Below are 19,068 nucleotides of genomic sequence, written 5' to 3'. Positions count from 1 at the left end.
GTTCTTCCCTTACCATTTATGTACCGCATTCTCTTGAGACCCTTCTAAACTCTCATCATACTTAATATGTGTCTGTCAATAGATTAACTTTCTATGAAGATTTGCTTTTATCATCTCCAAATATTACCTCATCCCACTGTAATAGTCTAAATCCTGCTACTCTGTTCCTGGGCCCTTCTGACAAAACCCCTCATGACTGTTCTGATGACTGACTAACTTCTCACCCCCAGGACAGGCCTACAGGAGATGCCACTGGATAATGCTGAGATAGACTGGTATACAGATCGGTCTGATTTAAGAGGAGAGGGTGGAAATGTTAGAACAGGCTATGCCGTGGTTTCCTTATTAGAGGTAATTGAAGCTGGTCCTCTTCCCCAAGCCAGATCACCTCAAGTGGCTGAATACTTTAAGTTTTAGGGTACATGTGCATAACGTGCAGGTTTGTTACATATGTATACATGTGCCATGTTGGTGTGCTGCACCCATTAACTGGTCATTTAACATTAGGTATATCTCCTAATGCTATCCATCCCCCATACCCCCACCCCACAACAGGCCCCGGTGTGTGATGTTCCCCTTCCTGTGTCCATGTGTTCTCATTGTTCAATTCTCACCTATGAGTGAGAACATGCAGTGTTTGGTTTTTTGTCCTTGCAATAGTTTGCTGAGAATGATGGTTTCCAGCTTCATCCATGTCCCTACAAAGGACATGAACTCATCATTTTTTATGGCTGCATAGTATTCCATGGTGTATATGTGCCACATTTTCTTAATCCAGTCTATCATTGTTGGACATTTGGGTTGGTTCCAAGTCTTTGCTATTGTGAATAGTGCTGCAGTAAACATACATGTGCATGTGTCTCTATAGCAGCATGATTTATAATCCTTTGGGTATATACCCAGTAATGGGATGGCTGGGTCAAATGGTGTTTCTAGTTCTAGATCCCTGAGGAATTGCCACATTGACTTCCACAATGGTTGAACTAGTTTACAGTCCCACCAACAGTGTAAAAGTGTTCCTATTTCTCCACATCCTCTCCAGCACCTGCTGTTTCCTGACTTTTTAATGATCACCATTCTAACTGGTGTGAGATGGTATCTCATTGTGGTTTTGATTTGCATTTCTCTGATGGCCAGTGATGATGAGCATTTTTTCATGTGTCTTTTGGCTGCATAAATGTCTTCTTTTGAGAAGTGTCTGTTCATATCCTTCGCCCACTTATTGATGGGGTTGTTTGTTTTTTTCTTGTAAATTTGTTTGAGTTCATTGTAGATTCTGGATATTAGCCCTTTGTCAGATGGGTAGATTGCAAAAATTTTCTCCCATTCTGTAGGTTGCCTGTTCACTCTGATGGTAGTTTCTTTTGCTGTGCAGAAGCTCTTTAGTTTAATTAGATCCCATTTGTCAATTTTGTCTTTTGTTGCCATTGCTTTTGGTGTTTTAGACATGAAGTCCTTGCCCATGCCTATGTCCTGAATGGTATTGCCTAGGTTTTCTTCTAGGGTTTTTATGGTTTTAGGTTTAACATTTAAGTCTTTATTCCATCTTGGATTAATTTTAGTATAAGGTGTAAGGAAGGGATCCAGTTTCAGCTTTCTACATATGGCTAACCAGTTTTCCCAGCACCATTTATTAAATATGGAATCCTTTCCCCATTTCTTGTTTTTGTCAGGCTTATCAAAGATCAGATAGTTGTAGATATATGGCATTATTTCTGAGGGCTCTGTTCTGTTCCATTGGTCTATATCTCTGTTTTGGTACCAGTACCATGCTGTTTTGGTTACTGTAGCCTTGTAGTATAGTTTGAAGTCAGGTAGCGTGATGCCTCCAGCTTTGTTCTTTTGGCTTAGGATTGACTTGGCAATGAGGGCTCTTTTTTGGTTCCATATGAACTTTAAAGTAGTTTTTTCCAATTCTGTGAAGAAAGTCATTGGTAGCTTGATGGGGATGGCATTGAATCTATAAATTACCTTGTCCCTGACCCAAGCTTTTCAACTGGCAAAAGACAAGGCTGTTGAAAGTATTGCACTGACAGCTGCTCTGCACTTGGTGTTGCTCATGACTTTGGGATGCTACGGAAGGAGAGAGGATATTTAACCTTCTTGGGGTGACCCATAAAAAATGGACAAGAAGTGTCAGAGCTGTTAGAAGTCATTCAAAAACAGAAACTTTTGACAATTATAAAAATTCCAGGTCACTCTAAGTTGGACACCACTGAAAGCAGGGTAACCAATCTGCTGATGCTACAGCTAAAAGAGCAGAATTTAAGCCACCAGCTCCAATCTGGGGAATGGTCATAAAACCTGAAACACTTAAAAACATGTTGAAGAAAACCCAGAGCATAGCCCAAATGAGAGGGAAATCTACTTGGAAACAGAAAGGGGGATACCTGTCACTGGAAAGCGAAATATGATGTGAACCTAATAATAAACCCATTATTCCAATGGGATGTCAGATGCCTCTTGTGGAATATGTTAATAATCTGACCCATTGGAATCCAGAGAAAATGTAATCCTGGTGTAAACAATATTACTGGAAACTATCATTCATGGTGCCACAAAATATTTACTCTCCATGTGTTCTCTCTCCCAAAGATAACCCAGGAAACCCCCTCCATGGTGCCCAGGATCATTTTCCCCTTCTGGCTGGACCTTCTGAGGTATGGCAGCTTGATAGTATTCAGCTGCCATTATCTCCAGTTTAAAAGTATGTTTTAGTAACTATCTACGTGTCTTCCCACTGGGTTGAAGCTTTTTCCTGCAGGCAAGCAACAGCGATGGCAGTTGGAAAAATCCTATGTGAAAAAATGATTCCACTCTGTGAAGTCCCCTCTGAACTTCACAGTGATAGGGGAACTCATTTTACTGGCCAGGTTTTTCAAATTGTTTGTAAAATTTTCCTCGTACTTCAACATTTCCGTTGTGCCTACCACCCTCAGTCTTCAGGGCTGGTGGAAAGGACCAATGGTATAATTAAAACACAATTGGCTAAGTTCATAGGGGCTTTTCACCTGTCCTGGCCTAGAACTCCTCCTGGCACTCCTTACACTCTGATCCACCATTTTGTGAAACATCAACTATACCCTTATACAATTATAATGGGAAGGCCCATGTGTCAGGAACCCAAATAACCGACCCAACTTTTCTCCAGGGAGATATATTGCAATATATTGTAAGGGACTAATTCATCACCTTATGAAAAGCCAAGTTTTGGTAAAGGATTCTTTTTACAGTGCCCTCCCTGAAGATGAGGTTTCTGGTCATAATCTGTAGCCTAGAGACTTTGTCTCTTACAAAAGAGAAAGTCTTTGGTAAAGGACTCCCTTAATCCCCAATGGAAGGGTCCATACCAGGTAGTATTGACTAATTCATGTGCTGCACAATTAGGGGGTATAGACTTATGTATTTACATGTCTCATCTTAAAAAGGCACATCCTCCTGAGTGAACAGTGATTCCAGCCAAGGATCTTAGCCTCCAGTTCACTAAACAATATCAACCTTTGACTTGGGACTAGAAGCAGATAACAGCTGTTGTTGACAGCTTTAACCCAAGACACTGGCCCACCCATGCCTATGTACAAAAGAACACCTGTGTTTATTGTGTATTAGCCATTATGATGATTATCCTAGGGATACTGGCAATTGCTATCTTATGGAGAACCCAGCACCTGGTTTATCTGATTTAGTGTCTTTGCAGTAGTTAAAGTGAATCTCAAAACGCTGCAGCTATTTATGCTCTTTTCCTATGCCTTCTTGCCTTCTTGCCTTCTTGCCACTGCCGTCTGCTGTAGCCCGTGAAATAAACCTGTTTCTACAGTGGCTCAGGATTATACACACAGATTCCAAAAAGATGCCTGCTGAATATGCCAACCATGCCTATTTCCAGTGGCTCCAGCCTGTCATGATGGGTATCTCCCTTCTGAGGTCAGGACTAGCTATAACACCAAAATGTATTACATCACAGAAATGGTCTGGTGTCCTTAGTGCTGGCATAAAAAAGGACAATACGTATCATTAGCCCATTGAAAAGACTCTTAGGAGAAAGGCACATGGGAAAAGCTTTTCAGAGGAAAGGACCAGCTCACTAGCACTTACCTAAGTATCCCCCCATCCAGTGAAAAGAGTGGGTGATAACCACACCCAAAGTATCTGCCCATTTTCAAAATGGGGTAATGCAAATTTGGGATGGGTTGATCTGTCTTACCCTTTCATTTGGCCAACTCAGCTAAAAATGCTCCTTTATGCTGGGAACCAAGAAACCACATTAAAGACCCAGACCAAACAGTGCAGGAGACATGTGGTGGATACTTGGAGAACATTGTGACCATATTATTACTACAAGACACTGGCTAGCATACCACGAATTGGGTACAGCAACATGGTATTTATTAGCTAGCTCCAAATAGGACATACTGGCTATGTAGCACTAATTTATGGCCTCAGTTAACCCCAGGATGGTTAGGACAATGTTCCCTAGGTTATGCTTGGGCACAAGGATGAGTAATTCAGACTCTGCCAAACCAGCAGACCTTTTTCATTTGCAGTCTCATTGGACACATTCTGTATTCCAATGGTATGATTACTCAGCTTCTATCTTTATACCACAAATAGATATTAAAGATGTTCTATGGCATATAGAGGCCTTAACAAATAATACCCAAAAGGCCCTAAATGATAGCTGCATGGCTATCTCTTTGCTAAACAATGAGGACTCACGTATAAGAAAAACCATGCTGCAAAATTGTATGGCGTTAGATATGCTCACTGCAGCCCAAGGTGGAACCTTTGCCACAATCAAAACTGAATTTTGGATTTATATCTTAGAGGAATCAAATGACAAAACCTGACTTATGACTGACATAAAAACCCAGATAACCAACCTGTCAGATCCAAAGCCCTTACGAATCGACTAGTTGAGTGGTTTGTTTGGATCCTGGGGAACTTGGTGGCAGAAGCTATTGCTCATAATAGGAATCATAATAATAATTTGTGTTCTGTCCTGTTTTTTTACTTAGGTTGTCGTAATGGTATGTGCTTGCAACTAAGACAATGTGCAACTGAGAAGTCTAGAGTAATGGTTGCCCAAAGAAGTGCTCTAACTGAGGAGGCAGTAGCATAGCCTGAACCAACTTCCAGGTTTACTTTCCCTTATGTTGCTATAAATCTGGCCTAGCTCCACATACATATTGTTTTTCTTTTTTTCTTCTTTCCTTCTCCTGTTTTTTTTTTTTAAATCTCCATGAGACAAGACCACCTAAGAATGAGCCTTTCTAGCACCATGGAACCTTAACTTCTAGGAATAAAACATCCTAGGTACAAGGGACCAGCTCATAAAAGAAAAATCCTGAGACTAGAGACTCATTTCTTTTTAAAATGCTTTCTCCAAATGATTTTAAGTATGAAAAGGAAGCTGGGGGAATATGAAAGGAAAATAAATTTGGAACCCCAAACTCATCAAGCAAAAAGGAAAAGTCAAGCAGAGAACTGGGTCACACCAACCCGCCTCCTATTTGGTTTGTAAATAAGATGGCTGCAAAGATAAAAGGCTACTTAGCTCCCTCACAGTTTGCCCAGAAGAAAATTACCTTTGGGGCCCAAGATCTTTACCCTAAAACAGTTCTCTTGAATTCACTCTGGCAATGTAAATTGATCACTTATATTCACAGGTGCAGAACAGAGGACAGAAATCAAAGTCATCTCTCTGCTCACCTGAGACAAACACATATCTGACTGCTTCTTCTGCCATATTGTCTATGTTGTCTTATGTTAAAATAAAGATTCACTGAGCCAGACAAAAACATGGGTGACTATTTCCTGAGAATTAACATGAGGATGTCTGGGAGGACTGATTCCTAAGAGATCCAGTGGCTCTGATTAGGTTTTTTCTTCAGAGGAACATAATTAGGGTCTAATCTCACCCAACAGGTCAGCCCCTCCTGCGCCTTGAGCCCCTGCCACACAGATTCAGGTAGCCACGACATGAGTGGACCAAACTAGTTCAGGGAGTAATTGCCCTGGAAAGCTAGGTCCACAAGCAGAACCCATTGGGTCTGACACACTCCTTGAATTGGTTAAATTCAAAGGAAAACTCTGAATTCTGGGGAACAAGGCCTCTAAGTTGGCTTAAGCCTCTGCAGCTGCAGAACATGAAGTTCTACCCTTAGAAACTCCCGCTGGGTATATGCAAAATACTTATGGTAAATCATTCAAATATTTAGTCAAGTGGATGTTGAGTTCTAATTAGGGATAAGAAGTCAGGCTGGTGGGAGCAGGAGAAAGCAAGAACAAAAACCAAATAAGCCATAAATCTGCCTTTTTTTCGTGGTCCAGGACACACAGCCCTACTGCGCAAATAAGTCACAATCTTCCTGCACCCAGCTGTCACCAGACATCTTAACTAATCAAAAAGAACACGTAAGTTAGCTCACTGCAACCTTGCTGTTATCAGTATTGCACACAGCCCTCTTCAGCACACAGCACAAAGACCATCCTATAAAATCCTCAGGATGCCTTTGTCTCCTTGCAGTTAGCTCCTCTTTTGCTGACTTGCCTGTTGCTTTTTTGAAACACATTTCCCTACTTTGTCTAATAAATCTGCCTTTTAAAAATCTGCAACCATTTTGGTAAGTATTTTTTACCACCCATGCAACATCAGCCCCAGATAGTCAATACCTGTGACAGTGGCCCATTATAACCACAGAGGTTCTAACTTAACAGTGGCCTAGATGGGGATCATCTGAGATGCCCAAATTAGTGTACCTGGGAACTAGGATGGAAAATGCATGCACAAAAACTCAACAGCCAGAATGGGAGAGCTACTTTCAGTGGTACCTAGAGAGGTAGCAAAAAGGGGGAAGACTGCCTCACCTCCTTACAGGAGGCCAACAAACAACTTAGAGATACTAACTGATAACTCTCTAGTGCTTTATCTCTCTTAAAGAAATCTTCAGAATTGCTTACATCCCCCTTGGTTCTTCCCCCACCTCCAGGTACATCCCCAGCTTACTCCGACCTCTCTGAACTTCCTGGACCAGATCTGTTTCCTCTGCCTGCATGCTCTAGCCTACCATCTTCCTCTCCTTGTCTGCTACTCACTCAACAGAAGGCAACAGGGTGGTCTACTTCTACAACTCCGTCTCCTGATGATTTCACAACAGTCTCCCTGGCAGCCTTTCATCTGGAAGAAGTGGAAAAGGGGGAACCTGTAGGAACATCTCTCATGATCACACCATATAGGGAATGACCAGTAACAGGTAGGGAAACCCCAGTGATGGTCTTTCAAACCTGGTCAAAGGCTGAGCTAGGAGGCAAAGTTAAAAAATTTCCTGACTCCCATAAAGATTTGCCCAAGAATTTGAGCTCATTGTCAGGTCACTCGTCATATGGCCCGTGTCATTCAGACCCTTACCAGCTGTTCCACATGTTGGTTTTGGATGCTAAAGCTAAGGAATGGCTGGAAAAAGCACAGTGGTCAGACCATTTAGCAGAGTCAATTTCCAAAGGTCCAATAGGATGACAACAAGTCCCCAAAAGTTCAGAAGACAGGCTCAAAGATGCCAAGGCATGAGCCACTGCTCTGTTAATTATAATTCCTTCAGCATTCCAAAGGTTTGTGGATTGGAATAAAATCCAGCAATGCCACCAGAACCCAAAGGAATTAGTTTGAGATTATTTTTCATGTTTTGATAAAACTTTGAGACAATATTATGGGATGTCAGCTGATTGCCTTGAGAACAATAAAAATGGCGCTTATTAAATGCAAACTTTCAAAACAGACCAGATGATGATTTAGCCACTCTTGTAAAACACCACATAACAAATTGGGCCATGGTCAGAACTAAGGAACTAGTTAACTTAGCTGACCAATTATCCTGTGCTATGATAAAGGAAAAAAAAAACAAAAGACTGCCAGAGTTATGCATTTATAGTTAAAGCAATTAACTTCTCAAACCTGTTAGCCTCAGAATAATGAAAAGCCCTCTCGGTCTGAGGACTCTTCCCTCAGCCTGTTACTATTGTAAAAGACCAAGACACCTTAAACAGGACTGCTTTAGGTGGAAGTGGAAGCCACAGCAGGAGGATACAACTCAGGAAGACTAGGGGTGCTCTGAGGAAGTTAAAGGGTTTCACCTCTCCCAGTATTCTACCTTGACAAATTGGGAAAGATTAATATAATCATAACGTGAGCTCTCCATTGCCTTACTTGACATAGGAGCAACTATATCTGTCATAAATCCCACCTGCTTTAGAAACCATGTTCCTCAGAGTAATAAAAGGACTAGCATGATGGGTGTGTCTAAGAAAACTATCTCATGCTTTAAATCCAAACCTATACCTTACCGTTTTGTCAGGTTTAGCACCCCCTCAATCAAGGGCCCTAAATACAACAGTCAGTCAGTCCCATGTGTTCCTAATATGCTGGGTAAGTGTCTGTTTTGTGGACCAGCCTTCTCTTTGTTCAGTTTCCAGAGTCAAGACTAGGAGAAAATACTAGAAAAGTCTTTTTTGGTCAAGGCATCAAGTCACATTTGGCTTGATATCCTTCACCAGGAATAGCATCTTTGGATATTGATGTGACCTTTTGGTTTTATTTCTTTTTCTTTTCTTTTTGAGATGGAGTCTCGCTCTGTCGCCTGGCTGGAGTGCAGTGGCGCGATCTCGGCTCACTGCAAGCTCCGCCTCCCGGGTTCACACCATTCTCCTGCCTCAGCCTCCGGAGTAGCTGGGACTACAGGGGCTGCCACCATGCTGGCTAATTTTTTGTATTTTTAGTAGAGATGGGGTTTCACTGTGTTAGGCAAGATGGTCTCGATCTACTGACCTCGTGATCCGCCCGCCTCGGCCTCCCAAAGTGCTGGGATTACAGGCTTGAGCCATCGCGCCCGGCCCTTTTGGTTTTATTTCTAAGTTGGTGTAGGACTGAAACAGGAGGGTATGTTATCAGTTTATATCCCTAAGGCCTCAACACTTATGAATCCACTTAAATGGAATCTAGAACTCTGACAAGCAGATATAAAATGTTTATCTCTGTCCAACGGTGATTACTGTGTTGCAGCCGCATTGTAACTGTGTTGCTGTTCATAAGTAGAGTCTGTGCATGTGGCTTGCGCATACATGCCCAGGGGGCCAGAGCATTACATTTCCATCAGGGCGTGGATCCCAGGGATACCAGACAGGACCAGGCAGAGGATGAAACAGGCCATGATTTTCAGATTCTGCAAGTAGGAGGGAGGATGCACCTCTTGGCTGGGGCTTGTAATTGGGAGATACCAGAAAGTTATGACCAGATTGAATAATGACCAGCAACTCAAAACATGGGCCACAGCAAATTTCTATAAGCCAAACATTTTATTTTATTTTATTATTATTTTTTGAGATAGGGTCTCACTCTGTCACCTAGGCTGCAGTGCAGTGGCATGATCTTGGCTCACTGCAACCTCTGCCTCCCGGGTTCAAACGATTCTCCTAGCTCAGCCTCCCCAGTAGCTGGCACTACAGGCACGTGCCACCATGCCTGACTAATTTTTGTATTTTTTACTAGAGACAGGGTTTCACCATGTTGGCCAGGCAGGTGGGTGGATCACTCCTGACGTCAGGTGATCCACCCACCTCGGCCTCCCAAAGTGCTGGGATTACAGACATGAGCCACTGCACCCTGCCTCCAAACACTTTAGATGCTCGTTTACCTTTGCAAAATTATTCTAGGTTTAATTGCTCAGAATGGTTTGCGATCATGACAAGGCAGCAGTGTAGAGAAAGGATGGTTGCTAAAATAATTACAGGTCTTATTCAGGCATGCATAGAACTGTAGAGACAGCTTTGCAAAGTCAAAAGAAGCATTCAAAGCTTTATTCCTGGGGAATTTGGGAGCCTGTTTTTTTTGTTGTTGTTGTTTGTTTTGTTTTGTTTTTGGTCTCCTCTCAAGTAGCCATAATATCTGATTATGCAACATGGGATTAGTGTTAGGGCGTTCAGAAGTAGGGCAGGGCACATTCTGCAGGGCAGTAGCGGGCTTTCTCCTTTGCCCTGAAGGTATAGTTTGTCAGGGCCTTCTGCAGGCAGCTGGAAAAAGTAATGCACCTGCCTTGGCTGAAGTGAATCCTGTATTAAATCAGGTGCTTAATGAGAGGACCAAAATGGACTTGTGTCTCTGTCTCAATTTAGCCTACCATTGTATACAAGGCAATCAATCCTTAGTTTACATCCCTGAGTTGTAAGAGATGCATTATAAACGTGCATTAGTACAGTGCCTTTTGCCTGTGCAAAATGCATATTTTTATCTGTATTTTATCCCTTTGTGTGTGTATGCTACAAAATGTAACAAAATATCATTATGCTCTGAAGAAAAGAGAAAATATTATATCTTCTGAGTCTGTGGCCCACAAATCCCTGAGAAGCCGATATAAAAAGGTTTATCCCTGGCTCCATGACTTGAACTCATTTCGATTCAAATAGATGAAAGTTATAATCCACCAGTTGGCTCCAAACACTTTTTTGAGACTTTAATACAATTTTAGACATGTAGATAAAGATGTACATTCACCTGACCTTTTCTCCATTTGACCCACTTTACTCCTAGGGAATACACGGGTAGTAAAGAAATGGGATCTGTTTTCTTTGGGATGCACAAAAAGTTCCGGTCCTGGGTAAGCAAGCAATGGCTATTTATAAATAATTTGAAGTATACCTTCAAATGGGAAGTATTATTAACTCAGGTTATAATAACAGAATAGGTATTAAGCAAATTTCTAAATCTATTGCTTGAAGCATCGAAGTTTCCGGGGGTGGGGACGGTTTGATAAATGCCAAACTGCCAAACACTGAAGGAACTGAGCTTTCCCTACTCATCGTCTAAAGGTGAGCCTGCCGCATTATCACGGATGCTGTGATGGGCAGGTGTGTTCGTAGTCCTCTGAAAATAGTGGATTTCTTACGTGTGAGGTTCCTTGGCTGTGACCAACACATGGCAGGTGCACCTTCCATCTGGCTGCTCTGTTTTGTGCAGTGAGACTTGGAAGGAGTGTGGGGGACCAAGGAGAATGAACATGCACATGAAGCCCATCCTGGCTGCTGTGCCACGAGAAAGTCCTTTGCACACGCAGTGAGCTTGTGTGACGGCTAAGAAGCCTTAAACTTAAGAAACCTCAATAAAAAAAAAATTGAAGTGCTACAAAATATGAAGTGCTACAAACAAACCGCCCTCCCTTCCAGAAAGTCATTATCATTGTACAGCAAACAAATCTATCCTCTGACCTAGAGGAAGACATTATTCCTATGTTTGCTGTGCAAACATCCTTGGAAACATACAAGATATGGTTGGATGCGGTGGCTCAGGCCTGTAATCCCAGCACTTTGGGAGGCTGAGGCGGGCAGATCACCTGAGGTCAGGAGTTCGAGACCAGCCTGGCCAATATGGCAAAACCCCATCTCTACTAAAAATACAAAAATTAGCCAGGCGTGGTGGTGGGCACCTGTAATCCCAGCTACTCCGGAGGCTGAGGCAGGAGAATCGCTTGAACCTGGGAGGTGGAGGTTGCAGTGAGCCGAGATCACCCCACTGCACTCTAGCCTGGGTGACAAAATGAGACTCTGTCTCAAAAAAAAAAGAAAAAAATTACAAGATATGCTGATACAAGAGGTGCAAAGAATGCAAGATGAGGAATTGTTAGTTCTAACAAGAATGTGATGTATAAGTTGAGTAATTTAACCAAGCCCCCATTGGTTTCTTAATCGAAGAAAGAGATTTTATTTTCCTGATCTTTTGTTCTTTTATTTATTTTTTTTAGCTGCCAATCAGATTAATCAAACATGGAAAAAAAAGATGAGGTTGCAATTGGGGGAATAGGATGCAATTTTCCAGGAGGTAAGAGTGATAAAGCAACAATAATCTTATCCTACGTAATGCCTACGTTACTAAAACAACCCTTGTGGTAAGTTGTCATTTATTTATTATTTATTTATTTATTTATTATTTATTTATTTATTTTAAGGTGGATACTCACTCTGTCACCCACACTGGAGTGCAGTGGGGCAATCTGGGCTCACTGCAACCTCTGCCTCCTGGGTTCAAGCAATTCTCCTGCCTCAGCCTCCTAAGTAGCTGCAATTATGAGGTGTCTGCCACATGCCTGACTATTTTTTGTATATTTTTTAGAGATGGGGTTTCACCATGTTGGCCAGGCTGGTCTCGAACTCCTGACCTCAGGTGATCCACCTGCCTTGGCCTCCCGAAGTGTTGGGATTACAGGTGTGAGCCACGATGCCAGGCCTGTAGAGCTCCTCTTTAGAAACTGTGTGCAGAGGGCAGGGCACAGTGGCTCATGCCTGTTATCCCAGCACTTTGCAAGGCTGAGATGAGAGGACTGCTTGAGGCCAGCCTGGGCAACATAGAGAGACCTCAACTACACCAAAAAAAAAAAAAAAAAAGCAAAAATTAGCTGGGCGAGGTGGCTTATGCCTGCAGTCCCAGCTACTCAGGAGGCTGAGGTGGGAGGATTGCTTGAGCCCAGGAGTTCAAGGCTTCAGTGAGCTATGATCACACCACCATACTTCAGTCTGAGTGACAGAGAGAGACTCTACCTCTAAAAAGTAATAAAAAAAGAAACTGTGTGTAGACATAAATTCAATTCTCAGAAACTCATGAAATTTCTGTCATTGTATTAGCGAAGTCATTCTGGTTAAAGAGTCAAACAATTCCCCTAATTTAACATACACTTTTAGTTAAAACCATGCCCTAGCTGAGGAGGCATAACTCAAGACAAGTCTCCTGTAACACAACCCCCTGGTTTATTTCAATTAGAATCTAGTGATACAAGAGGCCCTATAAAACAGGATAAATAGGAAATTCAAGTCTAGACATATTGTAATAAAACTGCAGATATCAAAGAAAAAGAGATTCTAATAATAGTGAGAGAGAAAAGACTGATCACCCACAAAGAACAATAACGATGAACTGATAGCACTTTTCTAAATGCAACAATAGAAGCCAGAAGGAAGTGGAACGATATCTTCAGAACGCTGAGAGCGAAGAATTCTCAACCTAGAAGTATTCCAGAGAGCGTACCTTCTATGAATGCAGATAAAATAAAGACAATTTGTAGATAAACAAAAACTGCAGCATTTATTACCAAGGGACTAAAGTAATGTCTAAAGAATCTATTTCAGGAAGGAGGATAAACATGCAGAGGTAGGCCGGGCACGGTGGCTCCCGCCTGTAATCGCAGCACTTTGGGAGGCCAAGGCAGGCAGATCAGGAGGTCAGAAGATCAAGACCATCCTGGCTAACACGGTGAAACCCAATCTCTACTAAAAATACAAAAAATTAGCCAGGCGTGGTGGCGGGTGCCTGTAGTCCCAGCTACTCTGGAGGCTGAGGCAGGAGAATGGTGTGAACCCGGGAGGCAGAGCTTGCAGTGAGCTGAGATTGCACCACTGCATTCCAGCCTGGGCAACAGAGCGGGACTCCATCTCAAAAAAAAAAAAAAAAATGCAGAAGTAATGTCTAGAATGTGCAAAGGAATGATGACCCAGAACATTGGTAATTATGTAGGTAAATCTAAAAGAACATTGTAAAAAATAATAATGTGATGTCTAATTTGTGGCGTTAAAAAAGGAACATGTAAAATATTGAGCAACAATAGCATGTAAGTATAGAGGGGTGGTGAGTATTTTTCAGGAAAGGGGTTAATATATTCAATTTAGGTCTTATTAACTCAGGTATTCAGGGTATCATTTTAGGATAATTGCTAAAAGAGTAGAATAGAGTATGTAACATTCATACCAATAGAAATATAAAAATGGTTTGAGAAAATATTAAGGAAGCATCAATGAATCCTAGAAGCAGGTGAGAAAATGAAAAAGAAAAAAGAACAAAGCCAGGCACAGTGGCTCACGCCTGTAATTCCAGCACTTTGGGAGGCCGAGGTGGGTGGATCACCTGAGGTCAAGAGTTCGAGACCAGCCTGGCCAACATGGCGAAACCCCGTCTCTACTAAAAAAAATACAAAAATTAGCCAGGCGTGGTGGTGTGTGCCTGCAGTCCCAGCTACTCAGGAGGCTAAGGCAGCAGAATCACTTGAACCCAGGAGGCAGAGGCTGCAGTGAGCCAAAATTGCACCACTGCACTCCAGCCTAGTTGACAGAAAGAGACTCTGCCTCACAAAAAAAAAAAAAAAAAAAAGGACAAATAAAAAACAAAAGTAAAATATTGGAAACATCTCAATATATTAATAATTACAATAAATTGAATGGGCTACAGTTGCCATTTTAAAAAGAGATTATCAGGTTAAATTATAAAACAAAATCAGCCTCTTATGCCATAAGGAGATACACCTGAACCAGAAAAACAGAAAGATTAAAAGTAAAAAAAAAAAGGAAAGATATATATGGCAAATAGCAAATATTAATCAAAATAACAATTATATTAAAATCAGACAACCTTTAAGAAATAAAGAAAGCATCATTAGGGAAAAAGTAGGTAACTACAATGATTGCAAAGAATTTGATTTATTAGGTAGGTAACAATCTAAACTTATATATACCTAATGAAATAGACTCAAAATGGATAAAGCAAGCATTTATAGAGTTTTGTAAAGAAAGTGACAAATTAATTCATAGAATTTTAATACACTTTTCTCAATTATTAATAACTAAAGGAAATTTTTTAAAATGCAAAAAAGTAGATATAGGCAATCTGAACAACATAATGAACACATTTGTTTTAACAGGTATATATCGAGGCCAGAACTCAACAAGGAAAGGCTACACATTCTTGACAAGCACACAGGCAACATTTAAAAAAAATGAGGTCAGGAATCTGGATATGAGCATGGTATGGCAAGTGGTAGTTAAGAACATGGAGTCAGAAGCTAGACTTTTTGTTTGAATTCCAACTCTACTACCTACCAGCATTAAGATAGCTTGAAAAAATATTTAACCTCAGCCGGGTATGGTGGTTCAGGCCTGTAATCCCAGAACTTTGGGAGGCTGAGGCGGGCAGATCACAAGGTCAGGCGATCGAGACCATCCTGGCTAACACGGTGAAACCCCGTCTCTACTAAAAATACAAAAAATTAGCCGGGCACGGTGGCGGGCGCCTGTAGTCCCAGCTGCTCGGGAGGCTGAGGGAGGAGAATGGCGTCAACCTGGGAGGCGGAACTTGCAGTGAGCCAAGATCACACCACTGCACTCCAGCCTGGGCGACAGAGTGAGACTCTGTCTCCAAAAAAAAAAAAAAAAAAAGAATCACTTTGTCAAGTTAAAAAAAGAACAAATGGTTGGTTATAGTTGTTTTACTAAGTAAGAATCAGTATCTTGAACGAGTCTAGCAAGAAGCGGTTGTATCTCTTAATTTCTTCAAGGCTTGTTTCATGCCCATTTTTAGCTTTAGTTTTTTTTCTTCACATAAATCTTGCACATTTCTTAGTACATTTATTCCTCGGTTTTTCATTTTAGAATTTTGAGAGTATACTTCTGAATTATAATTCCTAACTTATTACCGACAGTAATTAGGAAAAGTTTTGATTTCTGTGTATTTATTTTACAACCAGAGTGAATAATTTTTTGGACTATAATTTTCTTTTTTTTTTTTTTTTTGAGACGGAGTCTCGCTCTGTCGCCCAGGCTGGAGTGCAGTGGCACGATCTCGGCTCACTGCAAGCTCCGCCTCCCGGGATCACGCCATTCTCCTGCCTCAGCCTCCCGAGTAGCTGGGACTACAGGCGCCCGCCACCACGCCTGGCTAATTTTTTGTATTTTTAGTAGAGACGGGGTTTCACCGTGTTAGCCAGGATGGTCTCGATCTCCTGACTTTGTGATCCGCCCACCTTGGCCTCCCAAAGTGCTGGGATTACAGGCGTGAGCCACTGCGCCCGGCCACTGGACTATAATTTTCTAATAGGAGAGGGAATTGACAACTTCTGGCAAGTGCTTATGGAAGGCAGAAACTGCACGGTAGAGATTTTACCAGAAAGGCTTAATATTGAAGGATGGTATGATGCAGATGACACCAAGCCAGGTAAAAGCTGGGCAGGAAGAGCTGCTTCTATTGAAAGGTAAGATTATTGCTGGAATTTCCAAAAATAGTTCATCTGGTTAGTTTATTTAAAATCCTGTTAATGAAATTCTTTATGTTTTCTTTTTTTTTTTTTTTTTTGAGACATGGTCACACTCTGTCACCTAGGCTGGAGTGCAGTGGTGTGGTCTCGGCTCACTGCAACCTCCACCTCCTGAGTTCAAGCGATTCTCCTGCCTCAGCCTGCCTGAGTAGCTGGGATTACAGGCATGTGCCACCACACCTGGCTAATTTTTGTATTTTTAGTCGAGATGGGGTTTTACCATGTTGGCCAGACTGGTCTCGAACTCCTGACCTCAGGTGATCTGCCAACCTCAGCCTCCCAAAGTGCTGGGATTACAGGCATGAGCCACCACGCCTGGCTCTCTTTTTTTGAGACAAGGTTTCACTTTGTTGCCAAGGCTGGAGTGCAATGGAGCAATCTCGGCTCACTGTAACCTCTGCCTCCTGGGTTCAAGTGATTCTCCTGCCTTAGCCTCCTGAGTAGCTGAGACGAGAGGTGCACACCACCAAGCTCGGCTAATTTTGTATTTTTAGTAGAGACAGGGTTTGGCCATGATGGCCAGGTTGGTCTCAAACTCCTGAGCTCAAGTGATATCCACCTTGGCCTCCCAAAGTGCTGGGATTACAGGTGTGAGCCACTGCACCCAGCCAGTGAAATTCTTTAGTGATTTATTGGTAGGGCACTTTAACTTTTTAATTTCTTCTCAACATGCTATTTCTTTACATTTTCCACCCAAGTCTGTTCCCCACTCCTGTATCTATCCTGGGTAGACCTAAAATTGCCCTATTACAAAGTCTCTCTTGCCTTCATTTGTCTTATATTTTTTGTAGTCATCCAAACTAGAAACCTAAATAATCATGTCCCCTTACTTCCTCTTTCCTCAACCTGCAACTCCTGTTTTTACTGTCTTTCTTATATTTCTTAGTAAGCAAATGTGCTGGCTCCGTATTTGATTGAAACTGATATAAACGGGCGAGAGTGTATACGGAAATTCCTTGAACCTTTTAATCTAATACTTGATCCAGTAATTCCATTTGAACTATACCCAGTATTGTTGGTAAGACAGAAGAGAGCAGGAGTGGGCCTATATTATTTCATTCTTGCATTGCTATAAGGAAATACCTGAGACTGGGTAATTCCTAAAAGAGGTTTAATCGGCTCATGGTTCTGCAGGCTGTATGGGAAGTATAGTAGCATTGGCTTCTGGGGGACCTCACGAAGCTTCCAATCATAGTGGAAGGCAAAGGGGGAGCAGGCACCTCACATGGGGAAAGCAGTATTGAGAGACAGCATGAGGTGCCACATATTTTCAAACAGCTAGATCTCACAAGAAGTCACTCACTAGCTAGATCTCACAAGAAGACACTCACTATCTAGATCTCACGAGAAAACACTCACTATGGTGAAGACAGCATCAAGAGGGTGATGCTAAACCACTCATGAGAATTCCACCCCCATGATCCAATCACCTTTCGCCAGGCCCCACCTCCAATACTGAAGATTATAATTCAAGATGTGATTTGGGTGGGACACATATCCAAACTCTATCAGGGCCCCAAAGAAATCACCTAGTTTATGATGTACTTTACAATTATCTAGTATTAAACAAAATAACAGCTAACAGAAACTAGGGCCGGGCGAAGTGGCTCACACCTGTAATCCCAGCACTTTGGGCGGCTGAGGCAGGAGGATCACTTGAGGTCAGGAGTTTGAGACCAGCCTGGCCAACATGACAAAACTAAAATACAAAATTAGCTGGGCATGGTGGCACGCACCTGTAATCCCAGCTACTCAGGAGGCTGAGGCAGGAAGATCGCTTGAACCTGGGAGGCAGAGGTTGCAGTGAGCCGAGATCGCATCACGGCACACCAGCCTGGTCCCACCTAGGCAACAGAGCGAGACTCCATCTCAAAAAAATAAAAATTAAAAAAAAAAAAAAAACAGAAAGTAAAAGGTAACAGAAACTAATGATTACATGAGATGAGCCAACATAATCTGAAAGTTTGGCAACCACATTTTACAGAAGAAAAAAAATGCATAAATACTAATCTAAGTAGGTATTCTTCAGAGGCCATTTAATGCCATTTTGTTCTTTGTAGATTGAATGAATTTGACAATAACTTGTTTGGAATTAGTGACTTGGAAGCTGAATGTCTGGATCCTCAGCAGAAATTGCTTCTGGAATGCACCTATGGAGCCCTGGAGAGTGCTGGAGTCCCTGCCAAGGAGGTGGCTGGTTCCAGGACAGGAGTCTTCATTGGTGAGAGAGCAATGAACAGAAACCAAAAACCATCAAACAACAATTCTCAGGCCAGCTTTGCTATGGTTTTGATGTGTGTGGCTGGTTTCAATTATGATCACTGAGTATTTGCCTCCTCTCCAGCCTTGCCACAAAAACATTTCTCTTTCTAAAACCGTGTAGTTATCACTCATATTTCTCTTCTCAGTATTCCCCAGGGTTTCCAGGAAGACCAGTAAAACCTCTATACACAGAGATATTTCCTGACAGCCTGGAATGAGTGTCAATGACTATAGGTCCATAGGAGCCACACATCAGACAACTTGATAGATTGCAGAGATCCGGGCACTTCATTGACCCTAGTGGATCAGTGTAGACCGCAATGACTCAAGGAGTATATATTAGGAAAATATATTGACTCAAGGAGTATATATTAGGCTAACTTTGAGCTTCTGAATTCCAGAGTCTAAACGGGATCTGGATCCCTAAGGAACTTCTTGGAGCCAATTGAAATCTGAGATTTCCTACTCCCAGATGTCTTTTGAAATTAACTTCGGATCCAGGGCAGGTACCCTCTAGGTAATGGGCACTTAAATTTGCAGACCTATCTTGTTCTCAACCTTTATTCTAAGCCTCAAATAAGGCACTGGTGAAATTTAATTTTTGTTAATAAAAGTAATAATGTATTACAGCAATAGTTGTTTTATAATAAAAAGCAACTTAGGGTGGAATGCCACTAGCTAAATTCTACTA

General features: G+C 41.9%; 1 protein-coding gene across 6 annotated transcripts in view, besides 1 other annotated feature; it reads left to right on the top strand.

Moving 5' to 3' along the window:
* Positions 1-19,068, top strand: part of ANKRD26 (ankyrin repeat domain containing 26) — a 152,913-nt gene that overhangs the window by 112,666 nt on the left and 21,179 nt on the right. For 3 of the 6 annotated variants that reach the window (XM_017015929.2, XM_047424821.1, XM_017015928.2), the window contains 4 exons: positions 6,990-7,253; positions 11,787-11,863; positions 18,176-18,336; positions 18,779-18,894. In XM_017015929.2, the coding sequence (XP_016871418.1) occupies positions 6,990-7,243 (254 nt within the window). In that variant the 3' untranslated portion in view covers positions 7,244-7,253; positions 11,787-11,863; positions 18,176-18,336; positions 18,779-18,894. Of the gene's footprint in view, positions 1-5,015; positions 5,799-6,989; positions 7,254-11,786; positions 14,448-18,175; positions 18,337-18,778; positions 18,895-19,068 lie in introns of those variants that run through there. The other 3 variants (XM_047424822.1, XM_047424825.1, XM_011519416.3) reach the window with 3 other exon arrangements.
* Positions 16,514-16,623: an enhancer, noted in NCBI's record as "active region_3178". NCBI's record gives its function as "activates an Ori minimal core promoter by ATAC-STARR-seq in GM12878 lymphoblastoid cells {active_cell/tissue: GM12878}" and the evidence as "EXISTENCE:reporter gene assay evidence [ECO:0000049][PMID:35858748]".

Source organism: Homo sapiens, chromosome 10 (genome assembly GCF_000001405.40).
Source record: "Homo sapiens chromosome 10, GRCh38.p14 Primary Assembly".
Classification (NCBI taxonomy): domain Eukaryota; kingdom Metazoa; phylum Chordata; class Mammalia; order Primates; family Hominidae; genus Homo; species Homo sapiens.
Note: the sequence above shows the minus strand (reverse complement) of the source record. Positions and strands in the feature narration are given on the sequence as shown.